At 40.0% G+C, this 24,271-nt stretch overlaps 1 protein-coding gene and 1 long non-coding RNA gene across 5 annotated transcripts in view; one reads left to right on the top strand and one right to left on the bottom strand.

The window, feature by feature from the left end:
* HSD11B1-AS1 (HSD11B1 antisense RNA 1) overlaps window positions 1–24,271 on the top strand; it is an 81,204-nt gene that overhangs the window by 12,168 nt on the left and 44,765 nt on the right. The window contains exon 1 of one of the 2 annotated variants that reach the window (NR_134509.1): window positions 6,270–6,365. The exons of the other annotated variant lie outside the window; for it this stretch is intronic. This is a non-coding gene — a long non-coding RNA (HSD11B1 antisense RNA 1). Of the gene's footprint in view, window positions 1–6,269; window positions 6,366–24,271 lie in introns of those variants that run through there. 2 annotated transcript variants of the gene reach the window in all.
* Window positions 1–24,271, bottom strand: part of HSD11B1 (hydroxysteroid 11-beta dehydrogenase 1) — a 48,751-nt gene that overhangs the window by 4,535 nt on the left and 19,945 nt on the right. For all 3 annotated transcript variants that reach the window (NM_001206741.2, NM_181755.3, NM_005525.4), the window contains 2 exons: window positions 23,575–23,686; window positions 23,267–23,452 (listed from right to left, as the gene is read on the bottom strand). In NM_001206741.2, coding sequence (NP_001193670.1) covers window positions 23,267–23,452; window positions 23,575–23,686 — 298 coding nt within the window. The remainder of the gene's footprint in view (window positions 1–23,266; window positions 23,453–23,574; window positions 23,687–24,271) is intronic.

Below are 24,271 nucleotides of genomic sequence, written 5' to 3'. Positions count from 1 at the left end.
CTCCTTTCCTCCTAAGGAACCTCAGATATGATGGCTAGAATTGTAGCAGTCAGTTTGTGAACTTTAGGAAAAGCTAATGTTAATTATAGTGGAACAGAAATGTGGAATGACCTTGGATTCTTGAAGACGTCATGTAAGTCCACCAAAAGCAGCCCTAAACTATTACCTGAGAAGAAGGAATCTCTCTTTGTTAAGTTGCAGTGAGGTTTTTGACTTCTTTCTTTTCAACTGGGATACCCTTTATTTCTTTCTCTTGTCTAATTGCTCTGGCTAGAACTTCCAGTACTACGTTGAATAAAAGTGGTGGAAGTTGGCATCATTGTCTTGGTCCAAATCTTGGTGGAAAGGCTTTCAATTTTGTCCAGTTCAGTAAGATATTAGCTATAGGTTTGTCATGTATGGCCTTTATGATGTTGAGGTATATCCCTTCTATACCCAATTTGTTGAGGGTTTTTATTATGAAGGGATATTGCATTTTACCAAATGCTTTTTCATCATCTACTGAAATGATTATATATTTTTGCCTTTGATTCTGTTGATGTGATGTATCACATTTATTGATTTGCTTATGTTGAACCATCCTTGCATCTTGAAGATGAATCCTACTTGATCATAATGAATGATCCTTTAAAATGTTGTTGAGCTCTGTTTGCTAGTATTTTGTTGAGGATTTTTGCATCTGTGTTCATCAGGGATATTGGCCTGTGGTTTTCTCTTTTTTGTTGTATCTTTAGTTTTGGTTTCAATGTTGGGACACATCCTTAAAAGGAGAAGCCAGTCTCTCCTTCCCAATCCTTTGTCCTTCTTGGTGTCTGAAGGTGGATGTAATGGCTATGGCTCCAGACCTATCTTGGACCATGAGGTAGAAGCCACGTGTTGAGGATGGCAAAACATTTAGATAGTTTAGATAGAAGGAAGGAACCTGGGTGACCATGGAGCTGCCATACTATACTGGCCCTATACTGCCTACCTTCAGACCTGATTTAAATTTTAACTTACTTGTGTGTGTGTGTGTGTGTGTGTGTGTGTGTTTTCCGAGGCAGAGTCTTGCTCTGTTGCCCAGGCTGGAGTGCAATGGCATGATCTCGGCTCACTGCAACTTTTGCCTCCCAAGTTCTAGTGATTCTTCTGCCTCAACCTCCCGAGTAGCTGGGATTACAGGTTTGAGCTACCAAACCTGGCTAATTTTTGTATTTTTAGTAGAAACAGGGTTTCACCATGTTGGCCAGGCTGGTCTTGAACTCCTGATCTCAAGTGATCCACCTGCCTCGGCCTCCCAAAGTATTGGGATTACAGGCATGAGCCACTATGCCTGGCCTAAATGCTAACTTATTGAATCCACTATTATTTTAGGTTTTCTGTATCTGAGAGCTGGACTTACTTCTTATTGATAGTTATCCTCACTTCTATGCAGCCCATGTGCCAAAAGAAAGCTGACATCATTCCTAACTGCAGGTATGAGCTTATGTAATCTATTTTATCCCATTCTTCTTACTCATGATTGATACAGGAATGGCCATGTGGCTCATTTTGGACCAATGAGATTTGAAGAAAATTTTGTTGGAGTGTCTCAAAAAGTTATTGTTTTTCTGGAAGAGTTTCTGAGAGTAGCAATCCTCTTTTTCTTCCAACACATTTTTTGTGCATTGATATGGGGGCTGGAATTGCTGCAGCTATCTCATTGTCAGCCTGAGGATGAAGCCACACATGGAAGAGAGCAGAGCCAAGAGAATCACGGGGACACTGAGCTTCAGCCAAGTCAACTGTGAAGCCTGCCCTACATCTGGACTTCCAGTTATGTCAATAATTTTCCTTATTGTTTGAGACAAAAATAGATCCACATTACTTATCAGAATAGCATAATAATTAAAAGTATGAGCTCTAGAGTCAGATGACCCAGGTGTGAATCCCAAGTATGCCAATTCTTAGCTGTAATATGTGGATAATAATATAACCAAGCTGAAGTAACCCATGTAATATACTTAGCACAAACTCTGGCACATAGAAAGCATTCAGAAAATGCTATTATTGTTAGCAGTATTAGTATTCAAATTGGTGAGAAAAGTATGAGCTATTCAAAAAATCATGTTGGGACAAATAGCTAGTTACTTGGAGAAAAAAGTGCCATTCTAATAAACAAATTCAAATTAGATCACAGAGTATATGTGGAAAGTAAAAAACTAAAATAAGCTATTGGTGAATTTCTAATCTCAAAGTTAGAGATACTTTTTAAAGCATGAAATTGGAGGCATATACTATGAAGGAAGACATAAATAGGTTGGAATATATAAAATGTGAAAAGCTACAGTGTACTAGAAATGCTTGCCATGGACTTCCTGCCCTCATCCCCTTCAAAGAGCCTTTATCTTTCTAGCCATGGAAGGTTGGCCCAGTTATCACGAATATGCACACTGGCTTGAACACACATCGTGGTCTCTCTTTCAATAAATTGAAATAAGTGACCAAAAGATTCTGATTGCTGCTGTTGGATTTTGAATGAAAAGGTCATGTAAGGTTGGGACTGGGGTAGCCATTTCAGCCATGGAGAGGGATAAGTAAGCGGAGACAAGTATTCTGCAAAAATAAGCAAGCATATGGAGCAAACACAATAACCTCTGAAATTGAGCTAAATAGGAACTAACATTTATTTAGCTCTTATGTGCCAGTGTAGAATCTAAAGGATAAATGCTCAAAGTTTCAAGGTTAATGAGTGGGAGAAGCAGGATTCAAACCAGGATTCAAATTTGACTCTAGTGGCCCACACTCTTGAACACTAGGTGGTACTTCCTCTACAGAAGGCACTGTTCTTTATATGAGTGTTTTCCAGGAGCCATGTGTTAAATCCAGTTCTTTCTGCATTGGTGAGGATTCTCTCTCTTTTGATAGTCGAGTCCAAAATAGGCAAAATTTATGAATAGCAGTATTATTTTCACTTCTAAGCTGACAGATGAGGATACCCATAAATAAACAGGGCTAGTCACTCCTAGTCCCTTTGTATTCATTTCCCTGGGCTGCCATAACAAATTACCACAAACTTGGTAGCGTAAGACTACAGAAATGTGTTCTCTTACAGAACTGGAATCCAGAAGTCCAAAACCAAGTTATCAGCACAGCCATGCTCCCCCCAAAACCTATAGCAGGGAATCCTTCTTTTTTCTCTTCTAGCTTCTAATGTCTGCTGGCAGTTGGAGCTGAGTTGTGCTGGCAACTCCAGTCTCTGCCTCCATCTTCACATCACTTTCTTCTCTTCTGTCTGTGTCTTTTACTCTTCATATAAGGTTACTTGTCATTGGATTCAGGGCCTCTCAGATAATCGGGAATGATTTCATCTTGAGATCTTAGTTACATCCTCAAGGACTTTCTATGTGTCCACTTAAGGTCACGTTCACAGGATCTAGGTGGATATATCTTTTGGGGGAGGACCACCATTCAGCCCACTACACACCCCTAGATGACAATAAAGATATTGACTATGACATTTAATGTGTTTGTCTAGGTGGCAACAGAGATACAGAAGCAAGATATCCTGCGAAGCCATAGTCTGAATTCCTAGAGCAGTTATTTTTATACCACTTATGGAGCTCATGCATCACATTGCCTATCCTTAGTTATGCCTCAGGTTATGCTCAAGGTACATAGAAGAATCCTAAATGGTTTTGTAGGAGAAGGAGGTAAGAGAAGAGAGAAAGTGAAAGCAGAAGAAAGGAGAGAAGTAGTGAAGGAGCCAGACATGTCAGAAGACCACCTGAAAAATTCATGACATGGATGCTTGTATGGTTTAAAAAAGTTTTTTTTTTGTTGTTGTTAGAAACAGGGTCTCACTCTGTCACCCACGCAGGCTGAAGTGCTAAAGCACAGTGTTGAGATCATAGCTCATCCTCCCACCCCAGCCTCCTGAGTTGCTGGGATTACAGATGCATGCCACTGTGCTTGGCTAATTTATTTTTAATTTTTTGTAGAGACAACGTCTTACTATGTTGCACAGGCTGGCCTAAAATCCCTGGCATCAAGTGATCCTCCTGCCTTGGCCTCCCAAAATACTGGGATTATAGGCATGAGCCACTGTGCCAAGCCTAAAAAATATTTTTGGTTTTTTTTTTTTTTTTTTTTTTTTTTTTACGGAGTCTCATTCTGTTGCCAGGTTGGAGTGCAGTGGCGCGATCTTGGCTCACTGCAACCTACGCCTCCCGGGTTCAAGTGATTCTCCTGCCTCAGCCTCCTGAGTAGCTGGGACTACAGGCATGTGCCACTATGCCTGGCTAATTTTTGTGTTTTTAGTAGAGATGGGGCTTTACTGTGTTGGCCAGGATGGTCTTGATCTCTTGACCTCGTGATCCGCCTGCTTTTAATTGGTGAAAAAAATGAACTATTATGCAAGCATATAAGGTTGGACAAAGACTACTGAAAAACGATTAGCCTTTATTGTGAAGACTATGCATGAGGTGCACTGTAACATAATAACATATGGCTACAGCTGTTGTTGACATCTCTCAGATTTTGTGACCTGCTATTGATCTGTAAATGTTTAAGCCAGTACTCAAATTCAATGCACGTAAGGACCATGTGCAAATAAGGACCATTAACCTGCAGATTTGAGCTCTGCCCCCCATTCTTCTAGTCTGTTTATGGAGTAGAGGACTGTGCTAAACTGTTCAGTAGGAAAGAGTGGCTTTATCCATAAATGATATTCATAGTGGGTTTTGAGAATGAGTGTGGGGTAGGAAAGGCATGGTGGCCTAAGCTTGTTGAACATCATCTAGGAACTCCTGAAAGAAATGGGGAGAGGTCTTTGGAAGAGGCTAAAGTCCCACAATGACAGCTGGGTGAGCAGTCACTGAATTATGAATTAAGTCTCTTTAAAACCCAAACTGGCATGACTAAGGAAAACATGTATTTCAAATCCAAACTGGATGTTTAGGTAAAGAATGATATTGGACTATCAGGAAACTCCACCTGGAGGAGGTAGGTTGTAAATTCTGCTTGATGAAAGGAAGTACATGAAGGACCAGGGAGGTGGAAGAATGGCTTGTACAAAAATTAGAGGCAGGAGTTAGATAGGCAGTGAGAAGCTAGTCAGACAAGGAAAATAATAGCAAAGTTTATTGTATTTTTTCTTTTACAAAAGTACAGACTTAAAAACACTTATCCAAAACTCTTAGAGCCAGATGTATTATGGAATTTTAATTTGTTTTTGGATTTTTGATGGTGGTATGGGCATTAATAGGTATTACATCGCATCTCCAGTAGGGTTGGAGGAGGCAGCCTGTAAGACAGCATGTATTATTTCTGCACTAAAATATTGGAAAGTTCATACTGAGATAAAGAAAGGATTTAAGTAGCCTCACTTCAGTTCAGGTTAAATTCATTAGGTAGATTTAATTATGAAAAGAAAATCCTTAGTTTTTGGAGTTTTATTATTGTTTCCATTTTTTTCCCATAGCTTTTTGGATTTTGGAATTGCAGATAAGGATTGTGAACCAGTCTAGGCCCACTAAAGGAAAGCTGGAACATATATTAAAAATTAAAAAGCAGAAAAAAAATGAAGAGAAGAGAGAAAAATCTTCCATTCTCAAACAACATTGGTGCATTTAATTAAAGCCTATTTCTATTCACAAGTGTGTTCTTAAACATTTTTCCACATAATGCTAATTAGCTTGTGTGAGGAAACCCCTATGTTCTGCTCTATGTAAACCATATTTAGAAGTTTCAGAAAGCTGAAAAGGGCAAAATCCCTCTAAAAATCTAGATTTTTATTTTTTAAAAAAGATTCCATGAGTCAAAAGGCCTGGTCAAAGTGGAGTAAACAACATGTAACAGGATGTTAAAATTTGACTTTTTCTGCTTTCATTTCAGCTGAGGTTCAAAGGCTGAGAACATCACAGTAATTGGCAAAGGCTTCCACGTTCTGAAGGGAGGTTCCAGACCACCTGTGCACTTACAGGGAACATGGAAACACAAACAAACATCCCAAGGAAATAAAGGGGCTGACACTGGGAGGCCAGAGAAGATAGGAGTTAGGGAGAAGAAATTAGCAATGTCTCATTGATCTTCCAAAAAGAAGGGGTGGGGGATTTTCCTCACGTCAGTCTTTGTGAGAGTGACTTCAAAGAGACCTCAGAGAGCTCGTCCCAAAGAGTTTGATGAGCAACAAGGAGGACTGGGGTCTGACTCAATCTGAGAGGCCATGGCTATGGGCAAAGCCATTGCATAGCCCAAATTGTGTCACACCTATGGAAACTCTCCCTTGTAGGTGGACCTGAAATCCAGCCCACACTCTGCTCACCACCCTGTGGGCCTTGTCCCAGGACTCATCCCTTCTCTTCTGGAGCCATTTCCAATTCTGCCCAAAAGGACAGCCTGAAGTGGTGAGTGTATTCTCTTGTATTCCCACTGTATTCCCAGGGCCCAAAGGAAATAACATAAGCAACTGCTGCCCAAACCACAAGAAGAATAACTAGTATTCCAGAAAGGGCCTCCAAAGAATCCACAAAAGCATGCAATGCAAGAGTCAGATTTGATCATCCACCAAATGGTCAGAGAGCATGAGTTCTGAATGTCAAGAGAAGACCAATATATTAGCTGGGTGCCAGCCAAATAAGACCTTTCCTACTCCTTATCCTCTTCCCTGCATTGTCCCTTTTCCTTTAACCCAAGACAGGCTAGAGGGGGTCAGGGAGTGGGGAGGAGGTGGGGAAAGAGAGGAAAGAACAAACACATTTCCTACCAACAGCAGGTTCCAGCTTAGCAAGGGGAGAAGCTTTGGTAAAAGTTAAATTGCACATGACTAGACATCTTACCTATTTGGAAATGAGACTGTTCTGTGGACTAGAGGCAGCCATAGGATTTTTTATTAACCTGGAGTAACCAGAAAAGTGTTGCCATCTGCCCTAGCTCATGTCCAGGCTCAGGGAGGACCTGCGCACAGAACAGGTTTGAACAGGCAGGGGGAGGAAAGAATCAACTTGTTTTCTGATTGCACCCTATGAGATCCACTTGTTAGACTGCCAGTTTTTTTTAAAAAATGTGCCAGTGTATGTGCTCAACAAAATTAGTAAGTAAATAAATATACTGTTCTAATATGCATGAAGCAGTCGTGGAATTGAGGGGGTCGGAAGCCTGAGTGTTTCTACCCAAGGTTAAGTTTTGGCTTATGTGGGAGGGTGGGTCCATGATAGCAGAAGAGAAAGATGGCAGCTAGCTTTCTGGGAAGTTTTAGAACACAAAGAAACAGAGCTATGGTGACTATATTTTCTGAAGCAAAATATGGGACACAGAGTCTTAGAAGGATGAAGGCAGACATGATGATAGGTGGGACAGAATGTTTGTAATTAGCTCTGTCCCAGAAATGCGGGGACTCAGCCACTGTAGAAACAGCAAGAGCCAGAGAACTGGCAAAGAAGCCATGCACTGAGGCTTATTAGCTGAGTAGAAGAGGTCAAAAGGAGGCCTACATGCTTTCGTTCATCCCCTCTCTACCCTCCATCCCTAACTGCCTTGCTGAGATTTTGAAATGATTACCAATTCAAAGATGGATTTTAGACTGCTTTAATTGATTGCTCAGAGGGGAGTGCACAAGGATTGAAAAACTTCATTCCTGCCTGCCTTCACACTTTTAGAGCAACCCCAGGCAAATGAATGAGCCCAAATTTGAGGTGCATCAGGCCTAAATGGCTTCAAGGCCAGAGAGTCATCTGGGATCCTGCCCCCCATTTTTCCCAGCTCTTCCTAAAAATCCTTCCTCAGTTGAGACCCTCATGGTCTAAACTCTTTAGTTGTTTGGATTGAGTTGGGCTCTCAAGATAAATCCACCTATCTTCTCCATACCCCAGAAGACCTGAGGTGTCATCATAAGTATTGAGACATCCCACAATCCAGTGATTCTTGAAGAAATGGAATGAATGGATTTATCCAGGGAAAGTGTGTTGAGTGAAAAGAGAAGAGGGTTCAGGATAGAAAAATCCTCAGGAAACCAACAATTAAGGTTGGAGAATTGCCAAGAAACCTAAGAGACTGAGAGGGGAGAGTTAAGGTGGCCAGAGAAAACCCAGGGCAAAGTTTTGGCTGATCACTAGGAAAGAGCGTTTGGTGTTGAAACAGCACAAAAATGTAACAGAGATAAATAAGATAAAACTTTTACTAAATTTCACAAGGTGACTTTGGCAAGAATATTTCTATGCAGGTATGGGGCCTGTTGACAGGATATGAAATGGAGTTCTTCCTAAAGTCTCAGAGTATCAGCACATCTTCTAAGGCAAGAATAAAAGAATAGATTTGAAGAACATCCACAGTTGAAGGGTGGGCCCAAACCGGTTCTGCCTGCATTGCCTAATCACCCGTGCCTAGCCTAAATCACCCTTGGATAAGAGATAGTTCTCAATGTCCTGTGTCTATATCCACCGACGCTCAGGGCAGTTTCATCCCTTTCCACTTAAGCCATATGAGAGGGGCCTCAATAGCATTATTTGGAGAACTTTTAATATGTCCCCTGGAGTTCAGGGACTGGAATTTGACTCACATCTAAAGTCTAAAGGCAACAGGGAGGGCTGGAAGTGCCCTTGCTTGAGAACAAAGCTGAGTGCATTGTGGGATCAACCATGTAGTCCAAGGATTGGCTTCCCAGAGGCCCAGTGTGGATCCTGTGGATGGGGGCTGCCCAGGAGTCACCTGCCCAGGGATGGTTGGGTAGACTGGGCCAAGTGGGCTGGGCTGATTGAAGCCTAGGAACTGAGAAGAAAGCTGAACTGAAAATAATGAGCTAGAGAAGGCATTGCTCACACAAAGGGAACTGCAGGGGGAATGGGCGGCAGCAGTGGTGTCTCCTGCAGGGGATCTCTGAAGAACCCAGAAAAAGCCCCACAGAATTCACTTTCATATGTCCTCCAAGTCACTAGACTCCCAGGATGGGGATTTTTTTTTTTTTTTTTTGCTTTTGAAATAATTTCAAACTTAAAGAAAAGTTGCAAGAATAGTACACACAACCTATTTTTTTTTTCTGCTGAGCCATTTGAGGGTAATAGCTGTAATTGAGGTCATTGCTGACCTCATGTCCCATCTCCCCCAAATACTTAGTGTTCATTTCTTACACAGAGGGACACTGTCCTACATAATCACAATACAGTCATCAAAATGAGGGAATTTATTAGTTTCCTAGGGCTGTCATAACAAATTACCACAAACTGGGTGGCTTAAGACAACAGAAATTTATTCTCTCACAGTGCTGGAGTCAAGAAGTCTGAAATCAATGTGTTGGCAGGGCCGCATTCCCCCCAAAGACTCTGAGGGAGAGTGCTTCCTTGCCTCTTCCAGCTTCTAGTGGCTGCCGGCATTCCTTGTGGCTACATCACAATCTCTACTTTCCATCTTTACATGGCTTTTTCTTCTCTCTGTCTGTGTCTTCTCTTCCCCTGACTCTATAAGGACATTTGGCAGTGGATTAAGAGCCCACTTGGCTAATCCAGGATGATCTCATCACAAGATCCTTAACTTAACTACATCTGCAAGGACCCTTTGTCCAAATAAGGTTGCATTCACAGGTTCAGGCAGGTAGGATGTAGATATATCTTTTTTGGGGCCACTATTCAACCCAGTACAGTAATACTGACATATCCATGTTATCTAATCCACAGACCCTATTCAAATTTTGTCATGTGTGCCAATAATATCCTTTATAGCAAAAGGATCCAATTGAGGATCATGAGTTGGCATTTAGTTGTCATGACTCTTCAGTTGCCTTTGCTCTGCAATGATTCTGCAGTCTTTCCTTTATTTTCATGACCTTGGCACTGTTGGAGAGTACAGCCAGTTATTTTGTACAAGCTGATATGCCGAAGCTGGCTCATACTAGATTGTGAGAGCTGGTGGTTAAATGTTTATAAATTTTGCAAGCAAGAGAATGTCATGTGGATATGGTCATCATGGGAGTGTTGATTACATGGAAAGGCTACAAATCAGGGCTTTTGATTCTTCCTTTCTGGATAGCTTGTTGTTAAACATTTACCAGCGCGCTATTGATGGATGTCCCTCAGTTTGGATTTATCCGGTGTTTCCTCATGATTTGATTCAGGTTATGCATTTTGGCAGGTTCACAAAAGTAACTTTTGTTCTTCACGTTGCACCCCATCAAATGATACATGTTTTCAATTTATTCCATTACTGGTGATGTTAATAAACCATGATCATTTGAATCAGGTGCCGTCTATCAGGTTTCTCTTCTGTAAAATTACTCTTTTCCCTGTCATAATCAGTAAGTTTGTTTTTCGGGTGGTACTTAAAAAAAACTATCTTAACCATTTTTTAAATTATACTTTAAGTTCTGGGGTACGTGTGCATGACATGCAGGTTTGTTACATAGGTACACATGTGCCATGTTGGTTTGCTGCATCCATTAACTCATCATTTACATTAGGTATTTCTCCTGATGCTGTCCTTCCCCCAGCCAATCTAGAACTAGAAATACCATTTGACCCAGCAATCCCATTACTGGGTATATACCCAAAGGATTATAAATCATGCTATAAAGACACATGCACACATATGTTTATTGTGGCACTATTCACAATAGGAAAGACTTGGAACCAATTCAAATGTCCATCAATGATAGAGTGGATTAAGCAAATGTGGCACATATACACCATGGAATACTATGAAGCCATAAAAAAGGATGAGTTCATGTCCTTTGCAGGGACTTGGATGAAGCTGGAAACCATCATTCTCAGCAAACCATCACAAGGACTCAAACATTGCGCGTTCTCACTCATAAGTGGGAGTTGAACAATGAGAGTACATGGACACTGGGAGAGGAACATCACACGCCGGGGCCTATCTTAACCATTTTTAAGCGGACAGTTCGGGGGCATTCAGTACATTCATATTACTGTGCAACCATCACCACCATCCATCTCCAGAACTCTTTTCATGTAGCAAAACTAACTACACCCATTAAACAATAACTCCACATTCTCTCCTTTCCCAGCCCCTGGCAACCACCCTTCTACTTTCAACTTTGTATAACTTTCACCACTCTAAGAACTTCACGTAAGTGGAATCATACAGTTTCCTCCAATTGCAAACCAATACCAGAGGGTTCATTCTCTTTCTGTGGCTGGCTTATTTCCCTTTGCATGATGTCCTCAAGGTCCAGCCATGTTGTAGCATGTGTCAGAATTTCTTTCCTTTTAAAGATTGAATAATATTCCATTGTATATACGTACTACATTTTGCTTATCCATTCATCTACTGATAGACACTTGGGTTGCTAACAGTGAAACATACAGTGTTTTTGCTATTACAAATACTGTTCCTGTGAACATGGATATACAAGTAGCTCTTTGAGACCCTGCTTTCTTTTCTTTTCTTTCCTTTTTTTTTTTTTTTTTGAGATGGAGTCTCACTGTGTCACCCAGCCTGGAGTGCAGTGGCATGATCTTGGCTCACTGCAACCTCCGCCTCCCGGGTTCAAGTGATTCTCCTGTCTCAGCCTCCTGAGAAGCTGGGATTACAGGCACCTGCCACCATGCCCAGCTAATTTTTGTATTTTTAGTAGAGACAGGGTTTCACCATATTGGCCAGGCTGGTCTCAAACTCCTGACCTCAGGTAATCTGCCCACCTTGGGATTACAGGCATGAGCCACCACACCCGGCCTCCTGCTTTCAATTCTTCTGTGTATATACCCAGAAATAGAATGGCTGGATCACATGATAATTCTATTTTAAATTTTCTGAGGTACTGCCATACTGTTTTTCATAGTGACTGTACCATTTTACATTCCCATCAACAGTACACAGCATTCCAATTTCCCCACATTCTCACCAATACTTGCTATTTCTGTTTTTTGGGGGTGTGGGGGATAGTAGCCATCCTAGTGCTGTGAGGTGGTATCTCATTGTAGTTTCAATTTGCATTTCCCTAATGATTAATGATGTTTAGCATCTCTTCATGTGCTCACTGGCCACTTGTTTGTCTTCTTTGGTAAAATGTTTATTCAAGTCCTTTGCCCATTAAATTTTTTTAAAAATTTAAGTTGATACGTAATATTTGTATATAGTTATGGGTAGTATGTGATATTCTGTTACATCCATAGAATATGTAATGATCAAGTAAGGGTATTTAGGATATCCATCATCACAAGCATTTATTATTTCTGTGTTGAGAACATTTCAAGTCCTCACTTATTTTGAAATGTACAATACATAGTTACTAACTATAGTCACTCTACTATCGAACATTAGAAATTATTCCTTCTAACTGCATATTTGTAATCAGTAGCCAACCCCTCTTCACCCTCCTGCCAACACGCTGACATTCTTCCCAGTCTCTGTAAACTATCATTCTACTCTCTACCTTCATGAGATAAACCTTTTTAGTTCCCTCATATGAGTGAGTACATGCAGTGTTTGTTTTTCTGTGTCTGACTTATTTCATTTAGCATAATGACTTTCAGTTCCATCCACATTACTGCAAATGACTGGAGTTGCATATATCTCTTTGATATATTGATTTCCTTTTTTTTTTTTTTTTTTTTTTGAGATGGAGTCTAACCCTGTCTCCCAGGCTGGAGTGCAGTGGTGCTATCTTGGCTCACTGCAACCTCTGCCTCCTGGGTTCAAGTGATTCTCCTGTCTCAGCCTCCCAAGTAGCTATAATCCCAAGTAGCTGGGATTACAGGCATAGGCCACCAAGCCTGGCTAATTTTTGTATTTTTAGTAGAGGTGGGGTTTCACCATGTTGGCCAGGCTGGTCTTTAACTCCTGACCTCAAGTGATCTGTCCACCTTGGCCTCCCAAAGTGCTGGGATTAGAGGCATGATCCATTTCACCTGGCCAATTTTCTTTCTCTTTGATAAATACCCAATAACAGGATTGCTGGATCATATGATAGTTCTATTTTTAGTTTTTTGAGAAATCTCCAAACTATTTTCTATAGTGACTGTAATAATTTACATTCCCACTAACAGTATATAAGAGTTCCCTTTTCTCTGCATCCACAATAGTATCTGCTATGTTTTGTCTTTCTGATAATAGCAATTTGATAAGATGATATCTCATAGTAGTTTTAATTTGCATTTTCTTAATGATTAGTGATGCTGAGCATTTTTCATATACTTGTTAACCATTTATATGTTCTATGTCTTTTTTTGAGAGATGTCTGTTCAGGTCTTTTGCCCATTTTTAAAATCAGATAGTTTTTTTTCCTATTGAGTTATTTGAGTACCTTGTATATTCTGGATATTAGTCCTTGTCGCATGAATATTTTGCAAATATTTTCTCCCGTTAAACAGGTGGTCTTTTCACTCTGTTGATTGTTTCCTTTTCTATGCTGAAGGTTTTTAGTTTAATATAGTCCTCTTTGTCTATTTTTGTTTTTGCCTGTGCTTTTGGGGTCTTAGTCATAAAATATTTGCCTAGACCAATGTCATGGAATGTTCTCCCTACATTTTCTTCTGGTTTCATAGTTTCAGGTCTTACATTTAAGTCTTTAATCTGTTGGGCATCAATTTTTGTATATGGTGAGAGATAGAGATCTAGTTTCATTCTTCTGCATATGAATATTCAGTTTTTCCAGCACCATTTATTGAAGAGACTGTCCTTTCCCCAATGCATGTTCTTGGTGCCTTTGTTGAAAATCACTTGGCTGTGAATACATCGGTTTATTTCTGGGTTCTCTATTCTTGTCCATTGTTTTGTCTATTTTCCTACCAATACCATGCTGTTTTGGTTACTATAGCCTTTAATATATTTTCAAGTCAGGTAATGTATTACTTGCAGTTTTGTTCTTTTTGCTTAGGATTGCTTTGGCTATTTCGTCCCTACAAATTTTAGGTTTTTTTTTTCTATTTCTATGAAAAATGTCATTGGTATTTTGATAGGAATTGCACTGAATCTATAGATTGCTCTTGGTATTATGGTCATGTTAACAACATTAATTATTCTAATCCATGAGCATGGGATATATTTCCATTTGTTTGTGTCCTTTTCCATTTCTTTAATGGGTGTTTTATAGTTTTTCCTGTAGAGGTCTTTCACCTCCTCGGTTAAATTTATTCCTAGGTGGTTTTTTTTTTTCTGTAGCTATTGTAAATGGTTTTTCTTTTTTTCAGATTGATCGCTGTTAGCATATGGGGACACTGTTGATTTTTGTATGTTGATTTTGTATACTGCAACTTTACTGAACTTGTTTATCAGTTATAAGAGTTTTTTTGTGGAGCGTTTAGGCTTTTCTGATTATAAAATCATGTCATGTGAATGAGTGAAAATTTGACTTCCTGTTTTCTAGTTTGGATGTCTTTTATTTCTTTCTCTTGCCTGATTGCCCTGGCTAGGACTTCTCGTACTGTGTTGAATAAGAGTGGTGAAAGTGGGCATCCTTGTTTAGTTCCAATTATTAGAGGAAAGGTTTCCAGTTTTTCCCCATTCAGTATGATGTTAGCTGTGGGTCTGTCATATATCCTTTGCCCATTTTTGAATCAGGTCATTTGTGGTGTTTTTGGTTGTTGTTGCACAGGGTAGTACTTTGAGACTATGTAAATACCGTCTTCCTTGTTTAACTTTTACCCACTACTTTTAGCATCCTTTGTTGCTTCCTGGCTGAATTATTACAATTATGGTTACCAAATGGTGATTTTCTAAGTTCATCATTTCATATCAGTTGGCTTTCCACTTCATGAAAAATCCTTCCCCTCTCTTGATTTATTTATTCATGCATTTATTTATGACTTCATGGACTTATTTCCTATTGTTGCAATGGGTGATAATCTGTTACTACTATTTGTTTTGATGCCTCAATGGTTCTAGGTTTGGCTAGTGGGATCCCTTTAAAGTTGGCCTCTGTGTCCTGGTAATGTGTGCCTATTATCCTTTGAGCAGTTCTGTACTTACTGGCAGAACAAGATTTTCAGGCTTATCTTGTACCTTTCTTGCCACTGCCCTGGAATCAGTCATTTCTCTAAGAAGCCTTGGTGGTTTGTTGTTGTTGTTTTTTTTTTTAGTGGAGAATGATATTTAGAAAACAAGATCTGGGCACCAAGTGTGCTCCCAGGTCCTGTCAGTGGACAGAGTGAGTGAATACATGCATGTATATGTAGACACACATCTATATTTATATATCTGTCCTTGTGTATTAAACAACTATTAATTCATACCCACACTTCCAATTGCAATCCAACACTAGAGGATTCATTCTCATTTTCTTCCTTTTCATATTTGTAACATTGATAGTGAGAACCTGGGGCTTCCAAGATCTGCAATATGTATTACTTATGTGATTAATGCTCCTGTATGTGATCATTCTTCATTTGGCCTCTTCATCCCACCTAGGTTCTGACACCCCAGTGCCAGGCTACATGAATGCCTGGTGAATGCCTTCTTTACCCTATGTCGGGCTGCCCATGGCAGGCCCTCTTGCAGATGCTCTCATCACTCCCCTTAGTTCTGATGCCCTGTGCCAGGTGCCACATGAAGAGCCTCCTTGGCCCACTTAGGCTCTGAAACTTCACACTAGGCCACCACTGCTGCCCCATGTGAGGATGCCATCCTCATCTCACTCAGTCTCTGATGTCCCAAACCTGCTCTGTGACACAAACCTGTCCCATCCTGCTCAAGTTTTTCAATCTGTGCTGCCACCTTCCTCCCCGGTGAAGATGCCTATCTTGCTTGGCCTCTATGAGTGGCTTTTAGATTGAATTATTCAGAGCCAAGGATGCTAAAAAATGCTCGACAATGCATCAGACAGTCCCACACAATGAAGAATTGTCCCTCACCAAAGGCCAATAGTATCCTTATTAAGAAGCCCTGACACGAAGGCCTAGAAACAGAAAGGAAATATGGAGGGAAAATATGACTGTGAGTCTCCAACACAGTTTAAGGAAAGACATGAAGCCAGAAATCCAGGTACTAGCAAGCTATTTTATCATTTGTTCATTCAAGAAGAATGTGTTGATTATTTGCAAAATTTGTTAGCTCCAGGGAATCAGAGATGAATGAACAATGTGCCTGCCTTTAAGGAGAGCACAGCCTAATCACTGTGAGTAAAATGCTGTATTTCAACAGCTTTCAGAGGCAAGCAGTTGTAAAACATACTACTATTTTGTATACCAAGAAATAAAAACCCTTCCAATAGATCTGTAACATGATTTTTATCCCTTAGAGTGTTTGTTTTATGTTTGTTGCTACTTAGGTTGTTTCTAGTTTTTGTTTGTTTGTTTGTTTTTACAACTATAAACAATACAGTAACAACTTGGCTTACACTAGAATGTGGGTGCACAACAGGTATCTTGCCTTGGCCTTCTTGCTCCCTGCCATAGCCTTGGCATCTGGCATAGTGCCTGACTCAGAGTTGACCTTCATGCATATTTTTTGAATGAATGAATGAATGAGTATATTTGGGAAGCACTTGTTCAAGTTTGTTTATAGAATAAACTTCTCAGACATGAAGTTATGCTCTCTCTCCCTGACCATTCCTCTTGAAGTACTTAAGCAAATTTCTACTTATGGAAATCAATATAGGCAGCCCTCTGTATCCATGGATTTTGCGTCTTTGGATTTAAGCAACCATGGGTTAAAAATATTCAGGAAATAATTTTGTGTCTGTATTGAACACATACACACTTTTAAAATCTTGTCATTATTCCTTAAATAATACAATATAACAGCTATTTACATAGCATTTACATTGTATTAGGTATTATAAGTCATCTAGAGAGGATTTAAAGTATCCAGGAGGATGTGCCTAAGTTATATGCAGATACTATGCCATTTCATACAAGGGACTTGAGCATCCATGGATTTTGGTATCTGTGGGAGGTCCTGGAACCAATCCATTGAAGAAATTGAGGGTGTGTGTATATGATTATATTTAAAAGAAGGAAGCACAGCAAGAAGCAAATAATTTCTGAAATGAATTTCTCATAAAAGGTTATGAAAAGAGGCACAAAGCAATGGAAAAAACAACACACCCAACAACTTATTGAAATGTTTCTATGATTATAAAAGTTACACATGCATGCATACACACACAATGAAAATTTGGAAAATGAAGAAAAATATGAAGCTAAAAACAAAAATCATTCATTGTTCTGTAATTTAGATATAATCATGCTAATATTTTGGAAAATGTCCTTCCAGAGATATAGATACAGCTATGGATACAGATACAGATATAAATATAAATATATAGTACAACTAGTTATTTTCCTACTGCCAGACATTTAGGTTACTTCCAATGTTTTGCAATTTAAAAAATCCTACAACAAATGTTTTTGTACCTAAATCTGTGACTAATTTAATAGCTATTTCCTTGATATATTCTTGCACTTAGACTGGGTGAAATAAAGGAAACATTCTTTTTTTTTGAGATGGAGTTTCACTATATTGCCCCAGTCTGGAGTGCAGTGGTGCGATCTCGGCTCACTGCAACCTCCACCTCCCAGGTTCAAGCGATTCTCCTGCCTCAGCCTCCCAAGTAGCTGGGACTACAGGCACCCACCACCTCGCCCGGCTAATTTTTGTATTTTTGGTAGAGACGGGCTTTTGCCATCTTGGCCAGGCTGGTCTCAAATGCCTGACCTCGTGATCCGTCTGCCTTGGCCTCCCAAAGTGCTGGGATTACAGGCGTAAACCACTGCGCCTGGCCAAAGGAAACATTCTTAAGGCTTCTGGTACATATTTCCAAATTACCTTAGACAAAATGACAAATAAAGACCTAGACTTTAAAAAATACACAAAAATAAACAATTAAATGAATATAAGAATCATGCATTTTTCCTACTCTGAGTACAGTCATCTCTCAGTATTCAAAGGGGGATTGGTTCCAGGATCTTCTGTGGATACCCAAATCCATAGATACTCAAGTCCCTCATATATAAAATGATGTAGTATTTGCATATTACCTATGCACATCCTCCTGTGTACTTTAAATCATCTTTAGATTACTTATAATACCTAATTTGGTGCCTATGCCTTATATCATTTCTGTGAATTCAACATAGTACCCAGCATGTAGCAAATTCAAGTTTTGCTTATTAGAACTCTGTTAATTTATTTCCCCCCATTTTTTTTTGATCCACATTTGGTTGAATCCACAGATGTAGAACCCAGGCATGCAGAGTGCTGGCTGTACACTGATCTTGTCCTTTTTCTTTTCTTTTTCTTATTGTTAAGAAATTCAAGTGCCAATATTGAAGCTTAAGCACAGGATCTATACTGAGTCTAATTTGGGCACATTTATATTCTCCTTTTCTTAAGACCTAGTTTTCTATTTGTGTTTTTCCAAATAGAATGTATTTGTTGTAAGCCTTCTCAAACTCCTTGGTAAGGAAACGTAAAGATACAAATGATGGTAGAACCTTGCTATTTCCATCCACAAGTGCACTTGAATGAAACCTGTGGTCTAGCAGGGATAAGTAACCTCAACTACCTAAGTTCAGCCGAGCCTTTCCAGAAAAGAACATGAAGCAACAATGATTACGGGTAGCATTATATTATTCTCAACCTGCACTAAATTGTCACTGTCTTCATCAAAGAGTCTTCCTCCCTTTCAAATCTCCCCCACTCCTTTCTTTTTGGGGCTGATGCAGAACTGAATTCCTAGATAAATCTAGCAGATTCTGTCTCAATCCTCACAGTGTTGCCCAAACACGATCTCTTAAATTTAGACAACAATGATTATATTTTATAGAATAAATTTTCTGGAATTTTTATGCCCAGGTTGCTGATTTTACTCTGATCTCCTTCTTGGCATTCTTATAGGCCCTATGGATGACACGTCTACACAAACACATACCTCACCTCTGCGTACTTCTACCCATCCCCCCAACACACAGCTCAACCCTGTGCAGCCATCGCCACTCCCCATCCCTCATGTAAATGCTTACGTTCACATGGATAAACACTTCCACTCACCTCAGAAATCCTGGTTCCTGAAGATTATTTCTGAGGTAATTGGATTTAAGGGTAAAGCGGCATTTTTTCTTAGAAAAATGAGAACAACTGTGGCAAGGGATAAATTGCCCCTTTCCACTCTGGTTCTGAGGCCCGTTCATAATCTGGAGTTTGGGATCCCCCCACCCCCAATAACCTGAGGCACAGCTATACATTGAAACATTGGCCCACCTTTCAGGAAGGAGTGGGTATGCCAGAACTGAAGGCAGGGATGACATTAACATCTGTATATCCTTGTCTATGCAAAACATCATTATAGGTCTTCCAAGTCCTGTTAGTTGATATGTGTAGTTGAAAAACCTGTTTTTCTCCCCCCACTTCATAATGTTGAATTTTTGAAATAGATTTAGACCACACAGGCAGACCTCCACTGACAAATAGGTTAAGATCCAGCAAGTGACTTCATCTGTTGGTTTGAGTTTTCCCACAGAGCACTGTCTTATGAATGTTTGCCCCCGGCTAGTCAACTCAACTCAAAGTGCCTGAAAGACTGCACACGTACATTAAAAAACAGTATGAAACAATGCTGCGAATGAGTAAAACAGGAAAGGAATACATTTGAATAAGACTATCTATATATAGGGAAAGTTGATTTTTTAAGAAGATTTACTTGGAGAAAAGTGAATAGTTAACTGGAGACACTTATGGAGCTTCTCAAGAGAAGTCTGATTCAAAGGTTATTGACAAGGTTCTTTTATTCCTTCTGATCTATTTTCATTTTGAATATTTAAAGCAACTGAGTCTTTTGTGATGTCCAGTTTCACTTCAAAATATACCTTGCATTTTCCTTGATCCAGAAGGATTACTATCCCTACACGTATGCTTGCCGAGTATGTTTAACATTTGTGTTATTAGTAGTTATGAGTAGTATTAGTAGTATTTGGATTACCAATAAACCCAAAAAAGAGAAATGATGAGGAAGTTGGATTTCTAAAGTTAACTTACCAAAATATAGTAGATAAAGACAAAGAAGAAACATTGAAATGGCTCTGGTGAGTTCTGAAAAAGACTTCATAGGAGGTAGGGGGCTAAGTAGATTTTGAGAGGAGAAAGGAGCAGAGGAAGACAGGGTTTGTCCGTGATTCCTCTCAGGGGCATAAAGCAGGTGGAGAAATGGCCTTAGATGCTCAGTTCTAGCTGCCATGTGTGCAACTGATGACACACACCACAGTGATGGGATTCACCAAGCCCAGGAGCCCGAAAATGAAACCAACTTTACTTTTCTAATATTGAACCTAAGATGACCTATTTTGACTAATGTCAGATAAACTTTTTTCCAGATGTTTTCAAATGTTCTCTGCCCACTCCAGTGATTTTTTTTAGTCATATTCAAGTATTAATATTTCTACTTTGGTTTGTTTCACAAATGCTATTTAGGTATTCTCTTTCCATTCTTTCTCCTACCCCACTGTCCCCTGCACGCACTGCCGGATGGAAGGACTTTGTTTTTTGTGATGGACCTTGAATGTGAGAGGGAATGAGTCTTTTGTGTGTGTGTGTGTGTGTGTGTGTGTGTGTGTGTGTTTCACATGTGGGATGGCCTGGAGGGTATACTTTTTTCTAGTCTTATGTGTTTTTTAGCATGGGTGATGTGGGAGAGATTGCTAGTTGTTTATCAATATCAGTGTCTTTTACACAAATAGAACTTCTGATTTTTAGTTGGACACATGTTCCCTTTGAATAAAGATAACAATTGCAGCCAGCTGTGGCAGAAGAAAAGTGTACACCTTCCAGGTGGTATCCTTCTTTTTTCATTTTCTTGAGTTAGAATTCAGACATGCCAATGAGCCATCTTGGACATGCAGGTGTAAACAAGCACTCTAGGAATGGTGGTTCTGAGATAGAAGGCCTCCTGGACAGCCTCATAGGACAGAACTACCATATCAGCCCTGGACTGCCTTTCCAGGGTGTTTTGTGTGAGATAAATAAATTTAGATTTGCTTAAGCCATTGTAAATTCGGGTCTTCGTTACAGTAGCTGAACTTACATCCTAACTAGCAAGTGGTGGAAGGAGAGGAGGCTAATCAATGTAACGGGATGTTACACATACAAGAAACTTGCTCAATAGGTGCCAAGAAAAGGTGGTGAATAGTGGATAGATGTGGACTACAAGGAGGTTCCCAGAAGCAGCAGTATTGTCTCTGTTAATGCTACAGAGGTAACCAAGCCTTTAAGGAACATATTAGAAGTATAGTATTCCCATGTAATGCAATACCCAGAAATGCATTGTGGAGAAAAAACAATTCTTTATCACTGAAACTCAATAAACAACTTAAGGTATTCCCTAGAAGAAATGATTAAAACTCCATCCCAGTACTGTTTGGCTGACCTTAAGATCAACTTGATGTTTAGCATCCCATATTTATAGAGTTTAGATTTTAAAGAGGAAGGATTAATGAACATGTTTACTGACTGATTAAAAGAATACATCATAAAGCAGAGAATATTCTTCAGTTGCGGCAAGACAGCAATGTGTCTGTACTTTGCAAGTTCATAGACAGGTTTCAAGGCAAAAAAGCTGGAATCTTTTGGCTACACAAGCAATAAACACCAAAGATACTCATCCAGCTAGATTTCCTACCTCCCAGAGTTCATGGAAATTACCAAGTGTCATTCAATAAGTGTAGGAGATATGGGGAAACAGAGATTATCAGAATTTCATCACGTCCTTGGGCTCAACAGTAATTCTTAGTCCTTCTGAGCACATTTAGATCATGGGTACATTCTAGAAAGTTACATTCGTCAAAGGTGAAATACATCCTTTGCCTAGAGTGAATGTATTATTTAATCAGCTGAAATCATTAAAGCCACCTACATCATGACTGATGTGAGGATTTTGTCCAATGCCCTGGGATGGATTGGGGATGTGCCCAGCACCCTCCCACTCAGTATGCATCTGGAAGCTCTCCCTTTCTTCCAGCCCAGAGAGAGTCTGTGTCTGGGGAGGGGTGGGGAGTGTGTGTTGTCTGGGAAGCACCGGGATGCATATCAATCACACTGTTTGGCGGGTAGCACAGACACACTGCCCCTTTATCCAATCACTATGCAGGCCGTCCCTGGGCCAGAAAGGAGAACTCTTTACGATACAGATGGTGCTATTAGTTTCAATAAGAATGTTTGTGAAGTGCTTAACAGTTTACAGAGTCCTCTAGGTTATTTGTTTTTATTTTGCCAGGAACAACATTTAGATGGCGGATTTTGATCCTGGTGTTTGCACTTTCCAGCCACATCCTTCTAACTGACTAATCAACAAAGATGTGTGGAACTTGTCTCCTGGATCTATGATAAAAATGGGCCTAGAAATGTCCCAAGCTGGGAACTCACTGGTTTTTTACTGGTGATGGCTTCTGATGCTACCACCATCCAGAACACCAGGGACCTCTCTTGATCCCACAGATATCTTTTCATGACCATTTCTCTGGACACATTTCCTCCCTACCCAGCTGGTTGTTTAAATTGATCTTTTCATGTTAACATGTTCAAATTTTAGAGAATACACCCACTATAGGCAGGTCTGTTCATCTTTTTTTTTTTTCTTGTTGTTCATTTTATTTAGCTTTAGCTTAGCCCACTTATCAGACACCTGTGTGTTGTTAAAACAGTTAACTTCTCAGTTGTACCTTCACATTTACATAACTTCACCAACCTTTTGGTCATGGAGGAAGCAAAGTCCTTTTTATCCATTGTGACTAGGTCTCTCACTTAGGACCAGGACAAGCTGTACCTCCAGCAGCCTCTCAAGTCCCTTCAACCTTCCTTTGTAGAAAACAATTCAGGCTTCCAATAGGCACTCTGAACTACTGCTTTTTCTCTGCTACTTAAAAGAATTTTGTAGCCCATCTACCTTGACCAATCCTTCATTTTTTATGGTGTCACTAGTTTGTAACAGTGTCTCCTTTACTCAGGATGCGTGCCTCTCATTGAGTCCACAAATCACCCCCCTACAAGTCTCTTATCAGTACATCTGCCCATTCATGCATATGAGTAAGCTGTTAATCAGCTTTTGTTTAATATTACTATGAACATTTCAACTTCAAGTTAATATTGTAACTAGGTCTCTCCCTTAGGACCAGGACAGGCTGTACCTCCAGCAGCCCCTCAAGTCCCTTTGACCTTACTTTGTAGAAAACAATTCAGTCTTCCAATGAGCACTCAGAGCTACTGCTTTTTCTCTGTTACTTAAAAGAATTTTGTAGCCCACTTACCTTGACCAATCCCTCATTACTTCTCTGCATGGAAACTGATAAAAATTTATGTCTACTTCAGAGCCTGGCATCATCCCTGGCATTTTTTTTTTTCTTCTACCTTCCACATATGTCCCTGTCCCACTTACCAGCCAGAGAGGAGACGACAACAATGCTTCCATTGCTCTGCTTCAGCATGGGCAAGGCAGCTACAGTCAGGACCACGTAACTGAGGAAGTTGACTTCCATGCTTTTGCGCACATGGTGAATATCATCATGAAAAAGATTCAAAGAAGTGTTGGTGATGTGGTTGAGAATGAGCATGTCTAGTCCTCCTGCAAGAGATGGCTATATTAAGAAATCATCTGGGGTTGATACCTTTCCCATTCTCCTCCCAAAAGCTCTTGGTGACCCCAAGGGCAAAGTTCAGAGGAGGAGGTAAGAGAAACAGCCTCACCCATGAGCTTTCCTGCTTGGGCAACAAATTGCTCTGCGAAGGTCATGTCTTCCATGGTGCCAGCAATGTAGTGTGCTGAGGCTGCTCCAAGCTCCAGGCAGTGGGATACCACCTGCAGTGATACAGCAGAAATGGCATCAGTCTTAGCTGCAGATTTTTGGGGGGTAGTCTCTGAAGTAACGGGGGGCTTAAATGAGAGATTGCTCACAGCCCTGTTTAGGTAAGAAATGGTAAGTATGTTTGTGTGTGTGTTGCCTAATATAACCCTCATGATCATCGTCCTCTGTCTGAAATATTTTCTGGAACTTGGTGGGGTTCAAATGGATAAATCATCCCAGTGCTGGGGTTTAAGTTCATGATTTATGCTCATGGCTTCTGTGAATAGGCATTTCTGAGGGCATTATGAGTGTAGATGCTGGTTACTATGTGGGTAGCTCTAGGTTTGTGAATGTTTGTACATCCTTGGGTTTGTGAGTCCATGAGAGGGCATGTGTCTGGGAGTCTGCATGGGTATGAGGATATGTATTCATAAGCAGGTACTGGGATTTCAGTTTTTGAAAACATCCGTATGTATCTGTAGTTCCATGTGTAAATGTGTGTGACTAGGCATGTCTGTGAGCATATATAACTCAAGGACTCTGTTGCAGAATATATTACACACACACACATGAATGAATGCTTAAATGCATACTTTTAT

This window comes from Homo sapiens, chromosome 1 (assembly GCF_000001405.40).
Source record: "Homo sapiens chromosome 1, GRCh38.p14 Primary Assembly".
NCBI classification, from domain to species: Eukaryota; Metazoa; Chordata; class Mammalia; order Primates; family Hominidae; genus Homo; species Homo sapiens.
Note: the sequence above shows the minus strand (reverse complement) of the source record. Positions and strands in the feature narration are given on the sequence as shown.